General features: G+C 42.2%; 1 protein-coding gene across 6 annotated transcripts in view, besides 3 other annotated features; it reads left to right on the forward strand.

Moving 5' to 3' along the window:
- Window positions 788-977: a silencer, noted in NCBI's record as "silent region_18985". NCBI's record gives its function as "represses an Ori minimal core promoter by ATAC-STARR-seq in GM12878 lymphoblastoid cells {active_cell/tissue: GM12878}" and the evidence as "EXISTENCE:reporter gene assay evidence [ECO:0000049][PMID:35858748]".
- Window positions 1,068-1,727: a silencer, noted in NCBI's record as "silent region_18986". NCBI's record gives its function as "represses an Ori minimal core promoter by ATAC-STARR-seq in GM12878 lymphoblastoid cells {active_cell/tissue: GM12878}" and the evidence as "EXISTENCE:reporter gene assay evidence [ECO:0000049][PMID:35858748]".
- Window positions 1,205-19,264, forward strand: part of PPP3CC (protein phosphatase 3 catalytic subunit gamma) — a 100,048-nt gene continuing 81,988 nt past the window's right edge. For all 6 annotated transcript variants that reach the window (XR_007060744.1, NM_001243974.2, XM_047421941.1 and 3 more), the window contains exon 1: window positions 1,205-1,585. Coding sequence is in view for 5 of the 6 variants with exons in the window: in NM_001243974.2 (NP_001230903.1) it covers window positions 1,537-1,585 (49 nt within the window). In the remaining variant the exon portion in view is untranslated. The remainder of the gene's footprint in view (window positions 1,586-19,264) is intronic.
- Window positions 4,601-4,760: an enhancer, noted in NCBI's record as "active region_27079". NCBI's record gives its function as "activates an Ori minimal core promoter by ATAC-STARR-seq in GM12878 lymphoblastoid cells {active_cell/tissue: GM12878}" and the evidence as "EXISTENCE:reporter gene assay evidence [ECO:0000049][PMID:35858748]".

Raw genomic sequence — 19,264 nt, forward strand, 5'->3', positions numbered from 1 at the left:
GTAGAATTTTCTGGATGTCCAATAAGGTAGCCGCGTGTAGCTCTTGAACACTTGAAATGTGGCTAGTCCCCTAGAGGAACGGGATTAATTTAAATTTACATAGCTACAACTACTTATCGGTCACTGCGGTAATTGTTAAGACTGGTTTTGCCTGTAACTTGCATATGTTTTATTGGACATCAGTTTCAATATTTCATTTGCATTGCTAAAAGTCAAAATCCTTTTGACTTTGCCAGTTACTCAGTGAGAGGACAGTTGGAGCCAGTTTCTGTTCTAGGCTTACAGTTTTAAGGACAGATAAAGGTTAGTTTTTAACCTCGAGATGAACAGACTGTTAAGTTTCTACGGACTTGCCCATGGGGTTCCACAGTGAGCCTGGGCCGGGGAGGCAGGTACTGTGTCAGGGGGAAGAAAAAAGGGGCTTCTAGCTGGGCAGGTGACACACAGGGCATAGGAAGAGGTCAGTTCTTGTGGCCGAGGAGGTCCGGCCCGGGGGTCCCAGGAGCAGAGATCTCCCTTCTCTTCGATGTGGAAAGTGAGGAGGGAGCAGAGCCTTGCTCAGAAACGGAGCTCCCCCAATCCCCCACCGCCCTAGCTACTGGACTGGAACTAGGATGGACACGAATGTCCTTCTCATTGTACTAACTGCACTCAACAAGCGGGAAAGATGAAGCGAGGGGGTTTAAATGTGTGCGTTTGTTGAATGACCCACAAAAACTGAAGGAGCGCGGCCGGACTGATCACACTCCTTGAGACAAAGCGGGTGGGAGACCCAGAGGTGAGGAGGGTGGTCGCCTGTGGGCGAGGACTGGGAGGCCAGGGGTTCTCGGCGAGGCGGTCCCAGGAGGCGGCGCGGAGCCGCTGCGAGGCCGCAGGGCCGGGTCGCAAGATGGCCGGGCCGGCCTCCCGCGCGGGTCGCGCGGGCCACGCGGGCGGGTTTCAGATGTTCCGGGCCCGGGTAGGGGCTGGCAGGAGAGAAGGGGCCGGCTGCGGGGAGGGCTGGCTGAGAAGAAGCGAAAATGGGCGGTTAGCAGCAGGGACCCGGAGCCGGAGGAGCCGAGAGCAGCGCGTGCGCCGAGCTCTACTGCCTCGCGGGAAGGCGGAAGGGTGGGGAGGGCGGCGCTCGGGGCGGGAGGCCCGGCCGGGTCCGCTAGGACAGCGGGGCCGCTGGGAAGTTGTGAGAGCGGCGCTCGGGGGCGCGCTTGCGTGCACGAGGGCCCGGGCCGCGAGCAGCCGCGGCCGTCCCGGTCGCCACCCTTAGCAGCGGTCGCGGTCGGTGCCGAAGCGGTGTTCCCCGCCTTAGCCGCTGGCGCCTCCCAAGAGAGCGGCCGGTGGGCCCTCGTCCTGTCAGTGGCGTCGGAGGCCGGCGCTGCGGTGGCCGCGCCCTTCTGGTGCTCGGACACCGCTGAGGAGCCGGGGCCGGGCACGGCTGGCTGACGGCTCCGGGCAGCTAAGGCTGCCCGAGGAGAAGGCGGCGGCCGCGGCGTAGGCGCACGTCCGGCGGGCTCCTGGAGCCTGGAGGAGGCCGAGGGGACCATGTCCGGGAGGCGCTTCCACCTCTCCACCACCGACCGCGTCATCAAAGGTGCCTGGCGGGCCGGGCCTTCCTCTGGGACCCGCGGGAAACGGCCTTCGGCTGGGCGGCGGCTCGGGGCGGAGGGAGGCTGGGGCCGGGCTGCGCCCACCCTAGGAGGGCTCGGAGGGGTGTAGACAGAGCCGGGCGGCAGCCTCCGAGAGCAGCCACCCGGACCCGGCGTTTTCTGCTGCACCTGGTCAGGTGCCTGGCCGTCAGTGCCAAGTTCCCTCCCGAAGGGTTCAGGGTGCAGTGGGGACTTCTTCTCCCACCGCCCCGAAGGGCCCGGATCCCTGTCTTTTTTTCTCTTTAAGAAACGACTCGGGGGAAGCCATCGGGGGTGGTGTGAGCAGGGAGTCGACTCTTCCAAGTAAGATATTTAAGATTAGATCTTTCTTGACGTCCGCCCCCCACCCTTTTTTAGGACGTATACCATGTGCCTTTTGACCCGCTTTCTCTAGATCATTGCAAGTCACTGCTATTACTGGAATAAACTTAGTATGAACAAGTCAGATAAATCCATTATATGATGTTTAAAATAAGTTTACGGAGCTCTTGACAGGGTAATGGTATTTTATTTTCCCTTTGGTTATAAAGACTTGGAGAATGACGTTTTCTGATTCATATGTGTACCTGCGTTAGATTTCTGTTGTTGTTATAAGAACAAAATGTAAAGGGCTCTTTGCTCTCTAAATCTTGTAGAGTTTTAGGTTATAGTTGTTTCTCCCTTTAAACTAAGAAGATGGATTACACATAACCACTAATTTATGTGCTGCTTTTATTCAGCCGTAAGTCTTAGGCACAACCCTTCTCTCTGAGATTAACAATCGGTTTGAAAGCGCTATTTTGTAAGAAGGGAATAGACTTAGACCAGCTGTGTTAGTGGCCTCTGGATGCAGGGGTTAGCGTGACAGTGGGGAAAATTATTAAGATACTTTTCTTCTTTTTCATTTTGGTATTAGAAGGAGAAAGGCAACTAATACTAGTGACGGGAATACATTTTTAAAAGGTGAAACGCCTTATTGCATGTTCAGGGAGGGGGAAGAATTTTAGTGTATAACTTAGGTTTCCCCCCTCTCTCCCCAAATCAGCCTCATAAATGTTAATTATCTGTACTACATAATTATAATGGGATTTTTGAGATTTATCTGCTTAGCATTTGTATGCTATCGTTAGAGGTTTAACTGAATTGTTCATCTAACTGACATTATCCCCTGAACAGCTAAATTATTGTGACCATTTAAATGTGTCTTCATATTATTAGTGTATAGCCTATAAGAAGTATATAGCCCTCTCTTAAGATTCAGAGTGTACTTAACATAACCTTTTTTGAGGAATCAAGGTCATTATGTACATTAATTTCTGTACTGTGCTGTTAATATGGCCGGTGCGTTCTGCTGTATAAAGTTGTTAGCAGTTTCGTCCTGTACTAAAATGACTTCGCAATGCTATACCAGTTCAGTGTTTTGTTTGCTTTTAGTTTCTCTCTCCAGTACTGTTTTCTGTCAAAATATGCCCTTAACTGCTTTCTAATCTGCTACGTCTTAGCTGAAGTAGGCAGGGAAACCAGATAAGCCAGAACTGTGGGTCAAGTCAGAATAAATAGGATCTTAGTGAAGCTTAGTGCAGCCCTCAGGAATCTCACAATCAAATCACCATTGTGCCATGTAATTTCCACCATAACATGCCATAAGATCAAAAGAAGATTAAAAATCTTAAATGACCCTTAAATATAGTAATAAATATTGTAAAATAAAATGTAATAAAATAAAAAAGTTAAAATGCAGGGGCTAGGGGCAGGCATGGTGGCTCACGCCTGTAACCCCAGCACTTTGGAAGGCCCATATAGGCAGATCACTGAGGTCAGGAGTTCGAAACCAGCCTGGCCAACATGGCGAAACTCCATCTCTACTAAACATACAAAAATTAGCTGGGCATGGTGGCGGGCACTGTAATCCCAGCTACTTGGGAGTCTGAGGCACGAGAATTGCTTGAACCCGGGAGGCGGAGGTTGCAGTGAGCCAAAATGGTGCCACTGCATTCCAGTCTGGGCAACAGAGTGAAACTCTCTCTAAAAAAAAAAAAAAAAAAAAAGCAGGGGCTGGTTTATTGCTACGCATGCTTATTATTAAATAAACACTGTCATCATATCCTGCAGGATGCAAATTTGTTCTTTACCAAAATTAATTACCGAATATTGTGTACTTTTAAGACTGCTCTTAAATAAATGAAATAGAAATAATTTCAGGTCCTTAGAATGTATGGATTTCTCTCCTATATAAAAACTTCGGCATAAGAGCTTGACCACAGCATTTGTGGCTTCATGATGACTTATGGTGCTTTTTTCAGGGTTTTCCAGAGTTTGAAATAGTTGAAGAAAATGAGGTGTCACGTGTGCATAGCTAAGGTCCATTGTAACGGGTACTAAACCCTGGTCTGATGCTATCTTGTTTAGTCACAGCTGTCTGCATTTATTCACAGCTTGAAAGCTTTTTCAGAGGTGATACCACACCCCAGCTATTTTTGTTTCTGTCATTTCCTGTTAACTTTAAAGTGTACCTAATTGTTCTATTTGAGCAAATTTTGGAGAAGAGTGGGTATGTGGGAGAGGTTTGTATTTTAGGTGTCCTTTAAATAGCAGCTTTCTTAAATTGAAGGATGTGGCTGGGCGTGGTGGCTCACACCTGTAATGCCAGCTACTTGGGAGGCTGAGGCAGGAGAATCGCTTGAACCCAGGAGGCAGAGGCTATAGTGAGCCAAGATTGTGCCACTGTACTGTAGCCTGGGCGACAAGAGTGAAACTCAGTCTCAAGCCAAAAAAAAAAAAAAAACTCATCTGTAAAATAGGGTTAATAATACCTTCCCTGTCAAGCCTGGGTCATGCAAGTGACATAAAGCATGTGAAAAGGTCAAGTTAAGGTAGTACTTTGAGACATGATAATAGGTTGGTAATAGATCGCTTACTACAGAAGTAGTTAGTAGAGATATCATTAACATTTGAAAATATCAGAAAGTATGTGAAATTATAAGCTACAAAACTGTTCCTAGTCAGGTGAATACCTATTCTACAGCATAATGGATATGTGGGTGAAATCTCGTCGGTAACAATGTGAAGAGATCAGCACAGTTCTGTCTGGTACTCCCTAGGCAGCAGATTTCTTCTCTATCTGTTGAAGGTGTTTATTTTATGTTTAAACCTTCTTATGATTTTACTCATTCATTAAATGTTTATTGAGTGCCATCTGCAATGTACCCTAGTAGGTTGCTCATTCATTTCTTCTTTGCTTTAAAAGTAGCATTTCTGTGAGCCTTTAGAGCAGTTTATATGCACTGGGGCACCATAACTGGTATCTAAGCCAGAGAACTAGGCACCCAAATGATTAAATTGTGATATTCTGTCTGCTTTATTTTTTTTTCTAGTTTCCACGTTCCTTTTCCTGTTTAAGGACATGTTTTTTCTTTGACAGTGATTTTTATAAAAGCAGTTTATTTCCCTGGAATGAATCTTTTCAGAAGCAACAAGGAAATTTCAGTAGGAATTACATGACAAATATAGAGAATCCATTGTCTTATTTTGTTACTTTATGGCCAGATGGGGTTTAACAGAAAAGTCAGATTTCTTTTTAGTAAGGTGCTGATACATTTCTCCCTTTCTCTTAGAATTCAAATATATTGTGTATTCACAGAGTACTGTACCATTTTTACCACACATGGCAGGCTACTGTTTCTTTAATATCGTGGCACTGGGAATATTGTGCTTATGGCTTTCTTAAAATATTTTAATATTAGTGTGGACAAAAATTGCTATTTCTACAAATATACCCTAAACCCGATTTCAATCTCTGGTACCTATACTTCATTTCTTTCCACAACTCTCCCCCGACTCTCCCTTTTTTATATCCATAATGGATTTACCGAGGGTTTAAAATTTTTTCTCTTAAATATAAGCTTAATCCTGCTACTTATACAATTTGAAAATCAGAAAGGGAAGAAAAGAAAGACTTCATATTCCTTCCCAGCAGAAATAACTGCTTTTAATACCTTTGTGTGTTTCCATCTGCAGGTATATTTTGAATTCAAAGGAAAATGGATCACACATATTAAAGCTTTTGTTATGCAAATATTTCATATTATTTTAACATAAATATTGTAATTTTACCTAAATATTTCCATAATGGTTTCAATCAGCATGGAAATGGTTTTAGAGTGCTTATATTAATATTTTGGTTCTTTATATTTTCAGTGGGGACACATTAGTCACTTGATACAATACCAACCCAGAAGAAACATTTTCAAGTATAAATTTTCAATGTGAATACGTTTTAAAGTTGATATCTCCTGGATTTGTCAACAGTATTTGTTTAATTTATGCTTCATTTACCATTGTGATTAACAAGCTGCCAAACTTTTGAAACATTCAAAATCAGTGCTAATCGAGATTCATACATCTGAGTAGAAATCTGGAACCTCTGAAAGGGCATCTTAATTTAAACACTTAATTTTTTTCTTTTTGAGCAAGGATAAAGTATTCTTTCTTACCTATACGTTATTGGTTGTGATCAAAGCTTTATTTATGGTCTGACATTTGATAATTAAGCTTTCTCTCTTTTATTGCATTTTAAAATAGGATTAAAAATTTTTTTTGCCTTACGTAATTTTTAGTGTACCATAACTTTTACTGGAGTGTATATGGGAAAATGTACAAATTATAAATGTACAGCTTAGTGAGTTTTTACAAATTTAGCACCCACATACCCATGTAACCACTCAACCAAAATAAATAGATTACCAGAATCCCAGAAACAAGCATGAGTTCACGTTCAGTCCACTGGTTTCCATCCCTAAATGGGCAACAGTGGGGAAAATATGACACTTGTAACCATTATTCTGGCGTCTAACGTCATATTTGTAAAGTAACATACTAATCACATCTTACTGTAAAGTGAAAAAAACAAGGGACTCTGAGAGAAAAATGCTAAGGACTCATTACTTAAAGTGAAATAATTAATTAAAGACCTTTTCCTAAGCAGTATTTGATACTAGGAATTGAATGTCTTTCTATTAAGGTAACATTTTTGGAAAAAGCTAATTTTTAGGCCAGGCGTGGTGGCTCACGCCTATAATCCCAGTACTTTGGGAAGCCGAGGTGGGTGGATCACCTGAGGTCCGGCCAACGTGGCGAAACCCAGTCCCTATTAAAAATACAAAAATTAACTAGGCATGGTGGTGCACACCTGTAGTCCCAGCTACTTAGGAGGCTGAGGTAGGAGAATCGTTTGAATCTGGGAGGCAGAAGTTGCAGTGAACTGAGATTGCGCCACTGCACTCTAGTCTGGGTGACAGAGCAAGACTCTGTCTCAAAAAAAAAAAAAAAAAAAAAAAAAAAGCTGATTTTTAGACATGTCTCTATTAGAGACAAAATTATTCATTTAATTCCGGGATTTGTAGTCATTTTGGAACTTTGCTGCTACTTAATTGCTAAATGACTAATGGGAATAAAGGGATGTCTTAGAATCATTACCATCCTTTGGTGCAATCATTACTAGACTATAATGCCCGTTTATAGTTTTTTTTGGTGGGGGACAGGGTCTCGCTCTGTTGCCCAGGCTGGAGTACAGTGGCGCGATCATGGCTCGCTGCAGCTTCAGCTTCCTGGGCTCAGGTGATCCACCTCAGCCTCCCGAGTAGTTGGAACCACAGGCATAGCATACGCCACCGTGTCCAACTAATTTTTTTTTTTTTTTTTTTTTTGTGACAGAGTCTCGCTCTGTCGTCCAGGCTGGAGTGCAGTGGCGCAATCTCGGCTCACTGCAAGCTCTGCCTCCCGGGTTCATGCCATTCTCCTGCCTCAGCCTCCTGAGTAGCTGGGACTACAGGCACCTGCCACCATGCCCGGCTAATTTTTTTTTGTATTTTTAGTAGAGACGGGGTTTCACTGTGTTAGCCAGGATGGTCTCGGTCTCCTGACCTCGTGATCCGCCCGTCTCGGCCTCCCAAAGTGCTGGGATTACAGGCGTGAGCCACCGAGCCTGGCCTAATTTTGGTATTTTTTATAGAGGTGGAGTTTCGCCCTGTTGTTGAGGCTGGTCTTGAACTCCTGGGCTCAAGCGATCCTCTTGCCTTTGTCTCCCAAAGTGCTGGGATTACGGTGTGAGCCACTGCGCCCTGCCTTTTATAGTCTTAATGTTAAAATTTAGCAGCATTTTACATTTCAAAACTGAGGCCTAAAACTTTCAACCTAACCTAAGTGGTATCTTTCTTAGTTACCCTTATATTCTATCTGGTTATCCAGATGAATGTAGAGAGAACTTTTAGTTCCCCATATTCAATTTTGTTTTGTTGGCACTTTAGATTATCCTGAAGTCTTTTAGTTTCTTGAGTCTTCGTTTGTTGTTTGAAGAGGGTTTAACTTGGTAACCAGGATCTTTAAATTGGGCACAGAAAGATATACTGGATGGCTGGACAAGATAATGTATTTCTTTGATGATCATTACTAGATTTACTAATTGCTAACAGTTCATGAAGGTTTTTTTGCAGTGTCTAGACAATGTCAGCCCAAGAGACTGAAATTCTAAATGAACAAACACTGAGAAATATTTGAAGAATTCATTCAGTAATTACCTATGTAACATTCTTGCTAAAGGTGTTTAATTTAAGCTGAGCTTAGTTATAGTAGACAATCAGACAAATCCAGTTTGTGGGACTTTCTACAAGACAGTTGGCCTGAACTCTAAAAATTTCAAAGTGGTGAAAACGAAACGAAACAAAAAGGGCAGGAAGACTGTTCTAGATGAAAGAAGTTGAAAGAGAAATGACAGTCAAGTACAGTGTCAAGCCTGGATTAAGAAAACAAAAAACCATAGAGGACATTTTGGGGATAACTGGGAAAATTTGAATATGGTGTATATATTAGACGGTATTATACCTTTTTTTTGTTTTTTTTTTTTTTTGAGATGGAGTTTCGCTCTTGTTGCCCAGGCTGGAATGCAATAGCGTGATCTCGGCTCACCGCAACCTCTGCCTGCCGGGTTCAAGCGATTCTCCTGCCTCAGCCTCCCGAGTAGCTGGGATTACAGGCATGCACCACCGCACTGGGCTAATTTTATATTTTTAGTAGAGACGAGGTTTCTCCGTATTGGTCAGGCTGGTCTCGAGCTCCCGACCTCAGGTGATCTGCCCACCTCCGCCTCCCAAAGTGCTGGGATTACAGGTGTGAGCCACCGTGCCTGGCCTATATCATTGTTAAATGTCTTGAATGTGACTATATGGTATTATGGTTATATAGGAAAATGATCTTATTTTTAGGCAATACCTGATGAAGTATTAGTATGTTGAAATGTCGTGATTTTTGCAATTTGCTTTTAAATTGTTCAAAAAAAAATCATTTGTAGAGAAAAAAGCGAAAGTGGCAAAACATTTACTATGGTGAATCTAGGTAAGAGCATATGGGTGTTCATTTTATGATTCTTTCACTTTTTAAATAGATTTCAGTTTTTCAAAATGTAAAGTTGGGGACAGCCAGGCATGGTGGCTCTCGCCTATAGTCCCAGCTGCTTGGGAGGCTGAAGCGGGAGGATTGCTTGAGGCCAGGAGTTCCAAGGCTTCAGTGAACTATGATTGCACTACTGTGTTCCAGCTTGGGTGACACAGTGAGCACCCATCTCTATTTAAAAAAGAAAAAAAAGTTAGGGAGAAAAAAAGTACAATGAAGAAATGGCTTGGCTGGGCGCAGTGGCTCATGCCTGTAATCCCAGTACTTTGGGAGGCCAAGGCGGCTGGATCACTTGAGCTCAGGAATTCGAGACTAGCCTGGCAACATGGTGAAACCCCGTGTCTACAAAAAATATAAAAAATTAGCCAGGTGTGGTGGCCTGCACCTGTGGACCCAGCTACTTGGGAGGCTGAGGTGGGAGGATCACCTGAGCCAGGAGGTGGAGGTTGCAGGTTGCAGTGGGCCAAGATAGCGCCACACTCCAGCCTGGGTGACTGAGACCCCATCTCAAAAAAAAAAAAAAAAAAAAAAAAAGGAAATGCCTCAAAACAGCTACAGCTAGGTTTAGGAAAGGCTGTCATCATATTTGAGGATTCCATAGTGTCTTAATGGGGGAAAGCTGAAAAGAAGAAAATGAGCCTTAAAGAATATTATAGCTGATGTGAAGTGGAGGCAGCTTGTTTAGCAGAAAAAGTAGTGGTTTCAGCTGCATGATGGGGGTTAGAAAAACATACAGAAGTCAGTATGGAGAAAGAAAAGGTACTTAACTAAGAAGTAGAGAGAAGATGGGCAAACTAGAAGGGCCAGAGAACTGAAATACATAAAATGAAGAAAAAGAAGAGGGATAGTTGAAAACTGGTGGAGCAGTTGACATCAATTTCATTAATGGGACAGCAAGACTATTTTGATGACTGTTATTTTTTTCTTTTCTTTTTTTTTTTTTTTTCTGAGACAGAGTCTCGCTGTCGCCCGGGCTGGAATGCAGTGGCGCAATCTCGGCTCACTGCAACCTCTGTCTCCCGGGTTCAAGTGATTATCCTGCCTCAGCCTCCTGAGTGGCTGGGATTACAGGTGTGCGCCACCACACCCAGCTAATTTTTTTTTGTATTTTTAGTAGAGAAGGGGTTTCACCATGTTGGTCAGGCTGGTCTTGAACTCCTGACCTTGTGATCTGCCCACCTTGGTCTCCCAAAGTGCTGGGATTACAGGCGTGAGCCACCGCGCCCGGCTGTGATGACCATGTTTTAAAAACCCAAAACAAATAGACTTATAAACCTATTCTGAAATCATAGAAAATCCAAATATTACCCAGACAGTTGATGTGGAAAGTGGAATAGCTATGTTTTTAATTTTATTGAAGAGATTGAAGTGAAAAAAGGGGTGGTAGTGGGATAAAGTAAATATTAACACTAATGAGTAGAGGAGAAAAAAAGGATTTTCTAAGTGTATTTTTCATCCCTGTTAATTGCACCACTCACCCATTTAGTCACTGATTCAGATGACCAGCCTGGGAATCAGGCCAGACTCTTTCTTCTCCATTTTACTGCATGTCCAGTCCCACCAGACTAAATGCTGTGAACCTTTGGTTTGTACATATCCTCTACTTCATCCTATTCTCACACCTTTTGCTTGTGCCATTGCAGGAGCCTCTTGCTGAGACTATGTAGTCTGTCCACGCTGTCATCGTGATCTGTGAACAATATCAAGGGTCATTCTTGTGCTCAAAATCCTTCATGAGCACTTCCTGCCTGTGGGATAAACTCTTTGTTGATGGGCAGTACCCTGCATGCTAAACCTCTCTAGGCTTGTGTTCCATTTCTTCCTCCTCATTTCACAACCCTCATCCCCAACCTACTTTATTTTTATTTATTTATTTATTTATTTATTTATTTATTTATTTATTTATTTATTTATTGAGACGGAGTCTCGCTCTGTCACCCAGGCTAGAGTGCAGTGGCGCCACCACGGCTCACTGAAAGCTCCGCCTCCGGATTCACGCCATTCTCCTGCCTCAGCCTCCTGAGTAGCTGGGACTACAGCCACGCGCCACCACGCCCGGCTAATTTTTCTTTTTTTTTTTTTAATAGAGATGGGGTTTCACCGTGTTAGCCAAGATAGTCTTGATTTCCTGAGCTCATGATCTGCCCACCACGGCCTCCCAAAGTGCTGGGATTACAGGCGTGAGCCACCGCACCCGGCCCATTTATTTATTTTTGAGACAGAGTCTCACTCTGTCTCCCAGGCTGGAGTGCAGTGGCGCCATCTTGGCTCACTGCAACCTCCGCCTCCCAGGTTCAAGTGATTCTCCTGCCCCAGCCTCCCGAGTAGCTGGGATTACAGGTGCATGCCACCACGCCCAGCTAGTTTTTGTATTTTTAGTAGTGATGGGGTTTCACCATGTTGGCCAGGCTGGTCTCAAACTTCTGACCTCAGGTGATCTGCCCTCCTCGGCCTCCCAAAGTGCTGGGATTACAGGCGTGAGCCACTGTGTCCGGCCCCCAGCCTCCTTTAATACTACAGGTTGAGTGTTCCTAATCCAAAATCTGACATTCTCCAAAATCTGAAGCTTTTTGAGTGCCAGATGACACCACAAGTGGACACTTTCTTTCCTGACCTCATGTGATGGGTTGTAATCAAAACCTGGGGACATAACCCAAAGTTTTTTCAGTGTCCCCAAGGGAAAAAGACCCTCCCAGCCCCCTTCGGTTGTGATATATCTTTTCCATGCACAGCATGATGGTGATGTCCAGGCAACCACAGATTGACCACGTAGGTGGCTAAGGGTAGTGACACATTTGCTTTCTAATTCAGTGTACGCAAATTTATTTTGTGCACAAAATTATTAAAAATATTTATAAAATTATCTTCACATTCTGTGTATATGAAACATAAATGAATTTTGTGTTTGGACTTGGGTTCCATTCCCAACACATCTCATTATGTATATGCAAATATTCCCAAATCTGAAACAATCTGAAATTGAAATGCTTCTGGTCCTAAGCACTTTGAATAAGAAGTCATACTTGTCGTCCTAGAATGTTTTATATCTGTGAATGGGCTCTTTGCTTCTGTGCATAATGGTTTTTTTTTTTTTTAACAGTTTTAGAGATAAGGCCTCACTCTGTTGTCTAGGCTGGAGTGCAGTAATGCGATCAATGCTCACTGTGGCCTCAAACAAACTCCTGGCCTCAATTGATCGTCCTGCCTCATCCCTCTGAGTAGCTGGGACTACAGGCGTGTGCTGCCATGTCTGGCTAAATGTTTTATTTTTATTACTTTTTTGTAGTGACAGGGTCTTGCTATGTTGCCCAGCCTGGTCTCAAACTCCTGGCCTCAAGTGTTCCTCCCACCTCCCAGAGAGCTGGGATTACAGGCATGAGCCACTGTGCCTGGCCCTGCGTAGAATCTTGTCCCTCAGCTTGACCAGCTCCTGTTTGTTTTTCAAGATTTAGCCAAGGGGACTTCTGAGAAGCTTTTTCTTCTCTGCTAAGAAGCTGTGGAGAGTAATGGTTTGAGAACATGGGCTTCAGTCAGACATACCTGGATTCAAATTTCTGTTTGTTTTTTTTTTCAAGGAGATGGAGTCTTGCTCTGTTAGCCGGCTGAAGAAGTGCAGTGGCACCATCATAGCTCACTGCAGCCTCAAACTCCTGGGCTCAAGTGATTCTCTTGCCTCATTCTCATGCCTGGCACTACAAGCATGTGCTACTATGCCCAGCTCAAATTCTTTTAGTGATGCATGACCTTAGATAAATCACTTACACTTGTTTTACCTGCATTTCTTTATGTGTAGAAGAGGGATAATGAAACTTGCAGTGGCAAGCACATAGTGAGTACTCCATATATGTTATGGTAGGTGCTGCTGCCGCCATCGCTATCATCATCATCATCATAAGAATTACTGTCTCCTATGAGCTCCCATAAACAATCTCATTGCTTTGCAAATCGCTTTAAATATTTTCTTGTCCTTTCTTCACAATAAACTCCTCTCTTTAAGGGCAACCACTGTATCCTTAATGCTGAATGCAGTGCTTAACACACGCTTAGGTGCTTAGTAAATATTTAAGTATGTGCAAGCATAAGAAGCTTATTTTATGGATGACAGTGTAAGAAAGAGTACAGACTCTGCTGATTACCAGCCGTGTGGCCTTTGAGCTTTGTTATTTATTTTCCTTGCCACAGGTGTAAAATGGGAGATAGTGCCTACCTCAGAATTTAAAGATTACATCTCATATTGTATGTAAAGTGCTTAGCATAATGCCCATAGTGGGTGGTTAATAAATGTTAGCTATTATTTAAAAAATAAATCAATCTTGGATCTTGGCGAGATTTGACAGTAGATCTATTTTACTTTAAGTGACATGTGAAATGAAGATTTAAGAGTACTGTATTTTATATAGTCACGCTTACATAGTTGCTTAATAATTCGGAGTTCTGACAAATGCATCCTTAGGCGATTTCATCATTATGCAAACATTGTATAGTGTACAGTTATCCCTTGGTATATGTGAGAGCTTAGTTCCAGGACCCCCACATATACCAAAATCCCTGAATATTCAAGTCCAGAAGTTGGCCCTGTGGAACCTGAGAATTCAAAAAGTTGGCCCTCTGTATTTGCAGGATGGGGTTTTGCAGCCTGTGTTTGGTTGAAAACATTTGCATATAAGTGAACCAGTGCAGTTCAAACCCATGTTGTTTGAGTTAACCATACTTATACAAACCTAGATGTTATATATATCTACAAACGTAGATGTTACACACCTAGGCTGTATGGTATATAGCCTATTGCTCCTAATCTACAAACCTGTGCAGCATGTTACTCTATTTAATACTGTAGGCAACTGTAACACAACAGTAAGTCTTTGGGTATCTAAACATATCTAAACCTAGAAAAGGTACAGTAAAAGTACAGTATTAAAGATAAAAAATGGTCCACCTGTGGAGGGCACTTAACATGAATAGGGCTTGCAGGACTGGAAATTGCTCTGGGTGAGTCAGGGAGTATGTGGTGAGTGAATGTGAAGGCCTAGGGCATTACTGTAGAACACCGCAGGCTTTACAAACACTGCACACTTAGGCTATGCTAAATTTATAAAATATTTTTCTTCAATAGTAAATTAGCCTTAGCTTACTGTAACTTTTACTTTATAAACTTAAAAATTTTTAAACTTTTTAACTCTTGTACTCATACTTAGCTTAAAACACAAACACATATAGCTGTACATATTTTCTTTCATATCCTTATTCTTATAAGCTTTTACGATTTCAAACATTTCTTATTTTTAAAACTTTTTTGTTAAAAATGAACACACACCACATACATTAGCTGAGGCCTCCAGAGAGTCAGGATGATCAATGTCACTGTCTTCTACCTCCACCTCCTGTCCCACTGGAAGGTCTTCAGGGGAATTAACAGGCATGGAGCAGTCACCTCCTATGACAACAATGCCTTCTCATGGAATACTTCCTGAAGGACCTGTCTGGGGCTGTTTTACAGTTACCTTTTTTTTGTTGTTTTTGTTTTTTGAATAAGTAGAAGGAGTATACTCTAAAGTAATGATTAAAAGGGTGGTATAGTGAATGTATAAGCCAGTAACATATTTGTTATCGTTATATGACTGGCAGTGCAGTAGGTTTGTTTACACCGGCAGTACCACAAATGTGAGTAGTAGTGCCTTATGCCGTGATGTTAAGACAGGTGAAAACATCACTAGGTGATAGAAACTTTTCAGCTCCATTATAATCTTACAGGATCTCTGTCATATATATATAGTCTTGTAGACTGAAATATTGCTATGTGGCACATGACTGTTTTCTAACTTTAGTCTTAGATATTGAAAGGATTTAAGGCTGGGCGCGGTGGCTCACGCCTGTAATCCCAGCACTTTGGGAGGCCGAGGCGGGTGGATCATGAGTTCAGGAGATCGAGACCACGGTGAAACCCCATCTCTACTAAAAATACAAAAAATTAGCCGGGCGCGGTGGTGGACACCTGTAGTCCCAGCTACTCGGGAGGCTAAGGCAGGAGAATGGCATGAACCCGGGAGGCAGAGCTTGCAGTGAGCCGAGATTGCGCCACTGCACTCCAGCCTGGGCGACAGAGTGAGACTCCATCTCAAAAAAAAAAAAAAAAAAAGAAAGAAAGGACTTAAACCTAAAATGCTTAAGAAGAAAAATGATGAAATTTTCCTTTTCTATAGTATAGATAGAATTTTGGAAGTGATGTATTCATAAATATTTGATGAGTTCCTATTACATGGAGCACATTTCTGGTTATGCTTAGAAGGGTTAAATACTACTTGAAAAGTACTCATGCGGTGTAGCATATAATAGCCTCTCAAAAATGTCACAGAAATTTAGAACTATATAGTGACCTATGACTAATCCCACTGCAAAAGGAGCAGGTGACTAAATTGTAGACAATACCTGGTGTGAAATGTTTGTTCCCTTGATCTATAAATTGATAATCCTTTAATGTTTAATCTGACTGTGACTAGTGGCCTGAAGAGGTAAGACTTTTGTGTTTTTTTATGTGTGTGCCTACGTATGTTTTTTTCTTGTGACCTAAGGCTTTGTGGAAGTTTAAAATAGAGTGATTTTAATGAATGGCTGGAGTAATAAAGATAGTTGGTGGGCTTCTCCATGGAAGCAAGTTGGTTATTTTTAACTACTTTGCACTGCTTTATGGAAAACATATGCCACTATAGAAGTTATTGTTTCTGTTGACTGTGACTGGTGGTGGTTATTACTTAGTTGGTTCTAGGAGGGCCAGTTTTTAGCTAATACTTTGAAAGTGAGTTCTGTGACTATTATTACTTAGTTGGTTCTAGGAGGGCCAGTTTTTAGCTAATACTTTGAAAGTGAGTTCTGTGACTATTATTACTTAGTTGGTTCTAGGAGGGCCAGTTTTTAGCTAATACTTTGAAAGTGAGTTCTGTGACTATCAAAGACCAGAGGAATAATCTCAAAGAAGCTGATCAGATCATGGAACTAAAGTCACTTGTTCTGGTGAGGAACAGTTGAAAGGGCACATAATACTTTTGGTAATAATATTTAATGTAACTTATTTAGCAGTGCGTGTTCATGATTGGCAAGGCAGGTGAGTAGATTAGGAAATGAGTCTGAAAAAGTAGGGCAGGACTGCTGGCTTAAAATAGGAGTGAAAGCAGTGAACAGACATAGCTATTTAGGCAAATCCTAGTGTCCCATGAGGATAAGACTACCACAATAATCTAAAAATAATAGCTTATAGGCCAATAACCTTTAAGGTTTATGTTTCATACTCACCGCAGGTCAACCCATGTGGCTGTTTCTCATTTATGCAGATCTACATCAGATTTTACTTGTGTTTACCTGAAAATACATATTGTTTATGTAGTCAATGTATATTGTAGTAGCATACAGAATCTGATCTTGAAAAGGTTGCAGAATTTCTTGAGTGTACTTTAGGAACTTAGTTTTTCAAAATTTATTTAATTTTTATTTTGATAATTATAGATTCACAGGAGGTTGTAAATAAAGAAATGTAAAGGGAGGTCCCAAACACCTCTCCCCTAACTCCCTTCCCTCTCTTTGCCCGTGTCAGTATCCCACACCACCACACACAGTAGTATACCAAAACCAGGAAATTGACATTGGTACAGTCCATAGAGCTTGTTCAGATTTCACCAGTTATACATGCATTCCTGTCTGTGTATGTGTGTTTAGCTTTACACAATTTCACATATAGGTAGCATAACTACCAGCACAATAAGGGTACTCAACAGTACCGTAACCACAAGATTTAGTTACTTCCCCTGTATAGCTACACCAGTCCCCCTTCTCCACGGGAAACTCAGTTTTATAGTTTGGCTATTGTTTTTAATCATGTGCAAACCTGGTTTGATTAAGGTTTTTGCTTCTGATTTGGAAGCATTGTTAAATAATTTTTAATGAAATACAGGTAATCTGAAAGCAGCTGACACATGGTAAAAAGCTAGATTTGGGAACACTGAAAGACTTCTTGGATGCATAGGCTTAGAATGATTCTCAGCTGTGATTTATTTCCTCCCTCCCTCCCTCCCTCCCTCCCTCCCTCCCTTCCTCCCTTCCTCCCTTCCTCCCTCCCTTCCTTCCCCTCCCTCCCTCCCTCCCTCCTTCCCTCCCTCCTTCCTTCCCTCCTTCCCCCTCCATCCCTTCCCCTCTCTCAATATTCTGTAATATTGAAATATTTCGTTAAAAATATACAGCATATTACATATATATCTGAAATTTTCTCCTTTCTTCCTTTTAGTATACCTTCTATTTATTTTGGTACCAAGAATAGAGTGCTGCTGTAACAAACACCTAAAAGTGTGGAAGTGGCTTTGGAACTTCTGAAAGACCCAGCCCAAGTCCCATCTTCATTTATTTATTTATTTATTTTTAAGAATTTTTTTTCCAAGGCTGGATCTCGGCTCACTGCAACCTCCGCCTCCTAGGTTCAAGTGATTCTCCTGCCTCAGCCTCTGGAGTAGCTGGGACTACAGGTGCACACCACCATGCCCGACTAATTTTTGTGGTTTTTAGTAGAGATAGGGAGGGTTTCACGATGTTGGCCAGGCTGCTCTTGAACTCCAGGCCTCAAGCGATCCATCTGCTTCATCCTCCCAAAGTTCTGGAATTACAGGCATGAGCCACTGCACCCAGCCCAAGTCTCAACTTTCTCATACACTTAATTGATTTCTGTAGCTATCGTTGATTTCCCCCTTTATAATCTTCCGTACTTACAGTCTGAACCATACAATGTACTGCTTAACTATTCTGTGTTTATATCTTGTTTTATGCGAATTCTACTCAACTAGAGCATATGATTCTTCAAGGTAGAATAAATGTGTTAAACTTGTATATTTCGGCCGGGCGCAGTGGCTTACGCCTGTAATCCCAGCACTTTGGGAGGCCAAGGCGGGCGGATCACCTGAGGTCAGGAGTTCGAGATCAGCCTGGGCAACACGGTGAAACCCCGTCTCTACTAAAAATACAAAATTAGCCAGGCGTGGTGGCACATGCCTGTAATCCCAGCTACTCAGGAGGCTGAGGCAGGAGAACCGCTTGAACCTGGGAGGCAGAGGATGCAGTGAGCCGAGATCGTGCCATTGCACTCCAGCCTGGGCAACAAGAGTAAATCTCCGTCGCACCAAAAAACAAAAAAAACAAAAAAAACACACAAAAACAACTTGTATATTTCACACATTACCCATACAATGTGAGCATGTAGTAGGTACCAGATAAACATTTAGTTATTTAACTAGAATATAATTACTGCTCTAGTATTTTTTCCCTAGCACTTTCAAACGTTACTCAAAGAATCCTTCTAGCTCTTTGATACAAATTTTAGAACTTCACTATTAACAAATATCAGCTGGGCTCGGTGGCTCACGCCTGTAATCCTAGCACTTTGGGAGGCCGAGGCAGGCGGATTGCTTGAGGTCAGGAATTTGAGATCAGCCTGACCAACATGGTGAAACCTTGTCTCTACTAAGAATACAAAAATTAGCTGGCCGTGGTGGTTCTCAACTGTAATCCTAGCTACTTGGGAGGCTGAGACAGGAGAATTGCTTGAACCTGAGAGGCAGAGGTTGCAGTGAGCTGAGATCATGCCACTGCATTCCAGCCTGGGCAACAGAGCGAGACACCGTCTCAAAAAAAATAAAAATAAAAATAAAAATAAATAAATAAAATAAAGTAAAATAAAAATATATATATATCACTACTAGCTAGGATTTTAGGAAGGCTACCTATAGAAACTTAGATATATTTAGTTATGGAATGTTTTGTTTTTCAGTTGGTAATGTACACTCTTTCAGTGTTTCAAAGGAGGATACTGGATAATTCGATTTGAATTGTAAATCTCCCCAACTGGTGTTGGAGAAACCAGAGGAGTTGATGATTTTATACACAGTCTTTCCTACCTCTTATTATTGAGAAAAGAGTGTTAATTGTGGTCAATGAATTTCTTCAAAGTTTGCTGCTTTTAAATCAAATTAAGGAAGTCAGCAACTATAAGTAGAATGATATGAATAAAATGTTTCATTGTTATGAAGAAGTGTTAGTAGCACGTGGCATTATGTGTTTCACATATTGAAGTTGACACCAGAAATATACATTTGTAATTTTTTTTTTTTTTCTGAGACAGAGTCTAGCACTGCTGCCCAGGCTGGAGTATAGTGGTGCAGTCATAG

This window comes from Homo sapiens, chromosome 8, assembly GCF_000001405.40.
Source record: "Homo sapiens chromosome 8, GRCh38.p14 Primary Assembly".
NCBI lineage: Eukaryota > Metazoa > Chordata > Mammalia > Primates > Hominidae > Homo > Homo sapiens.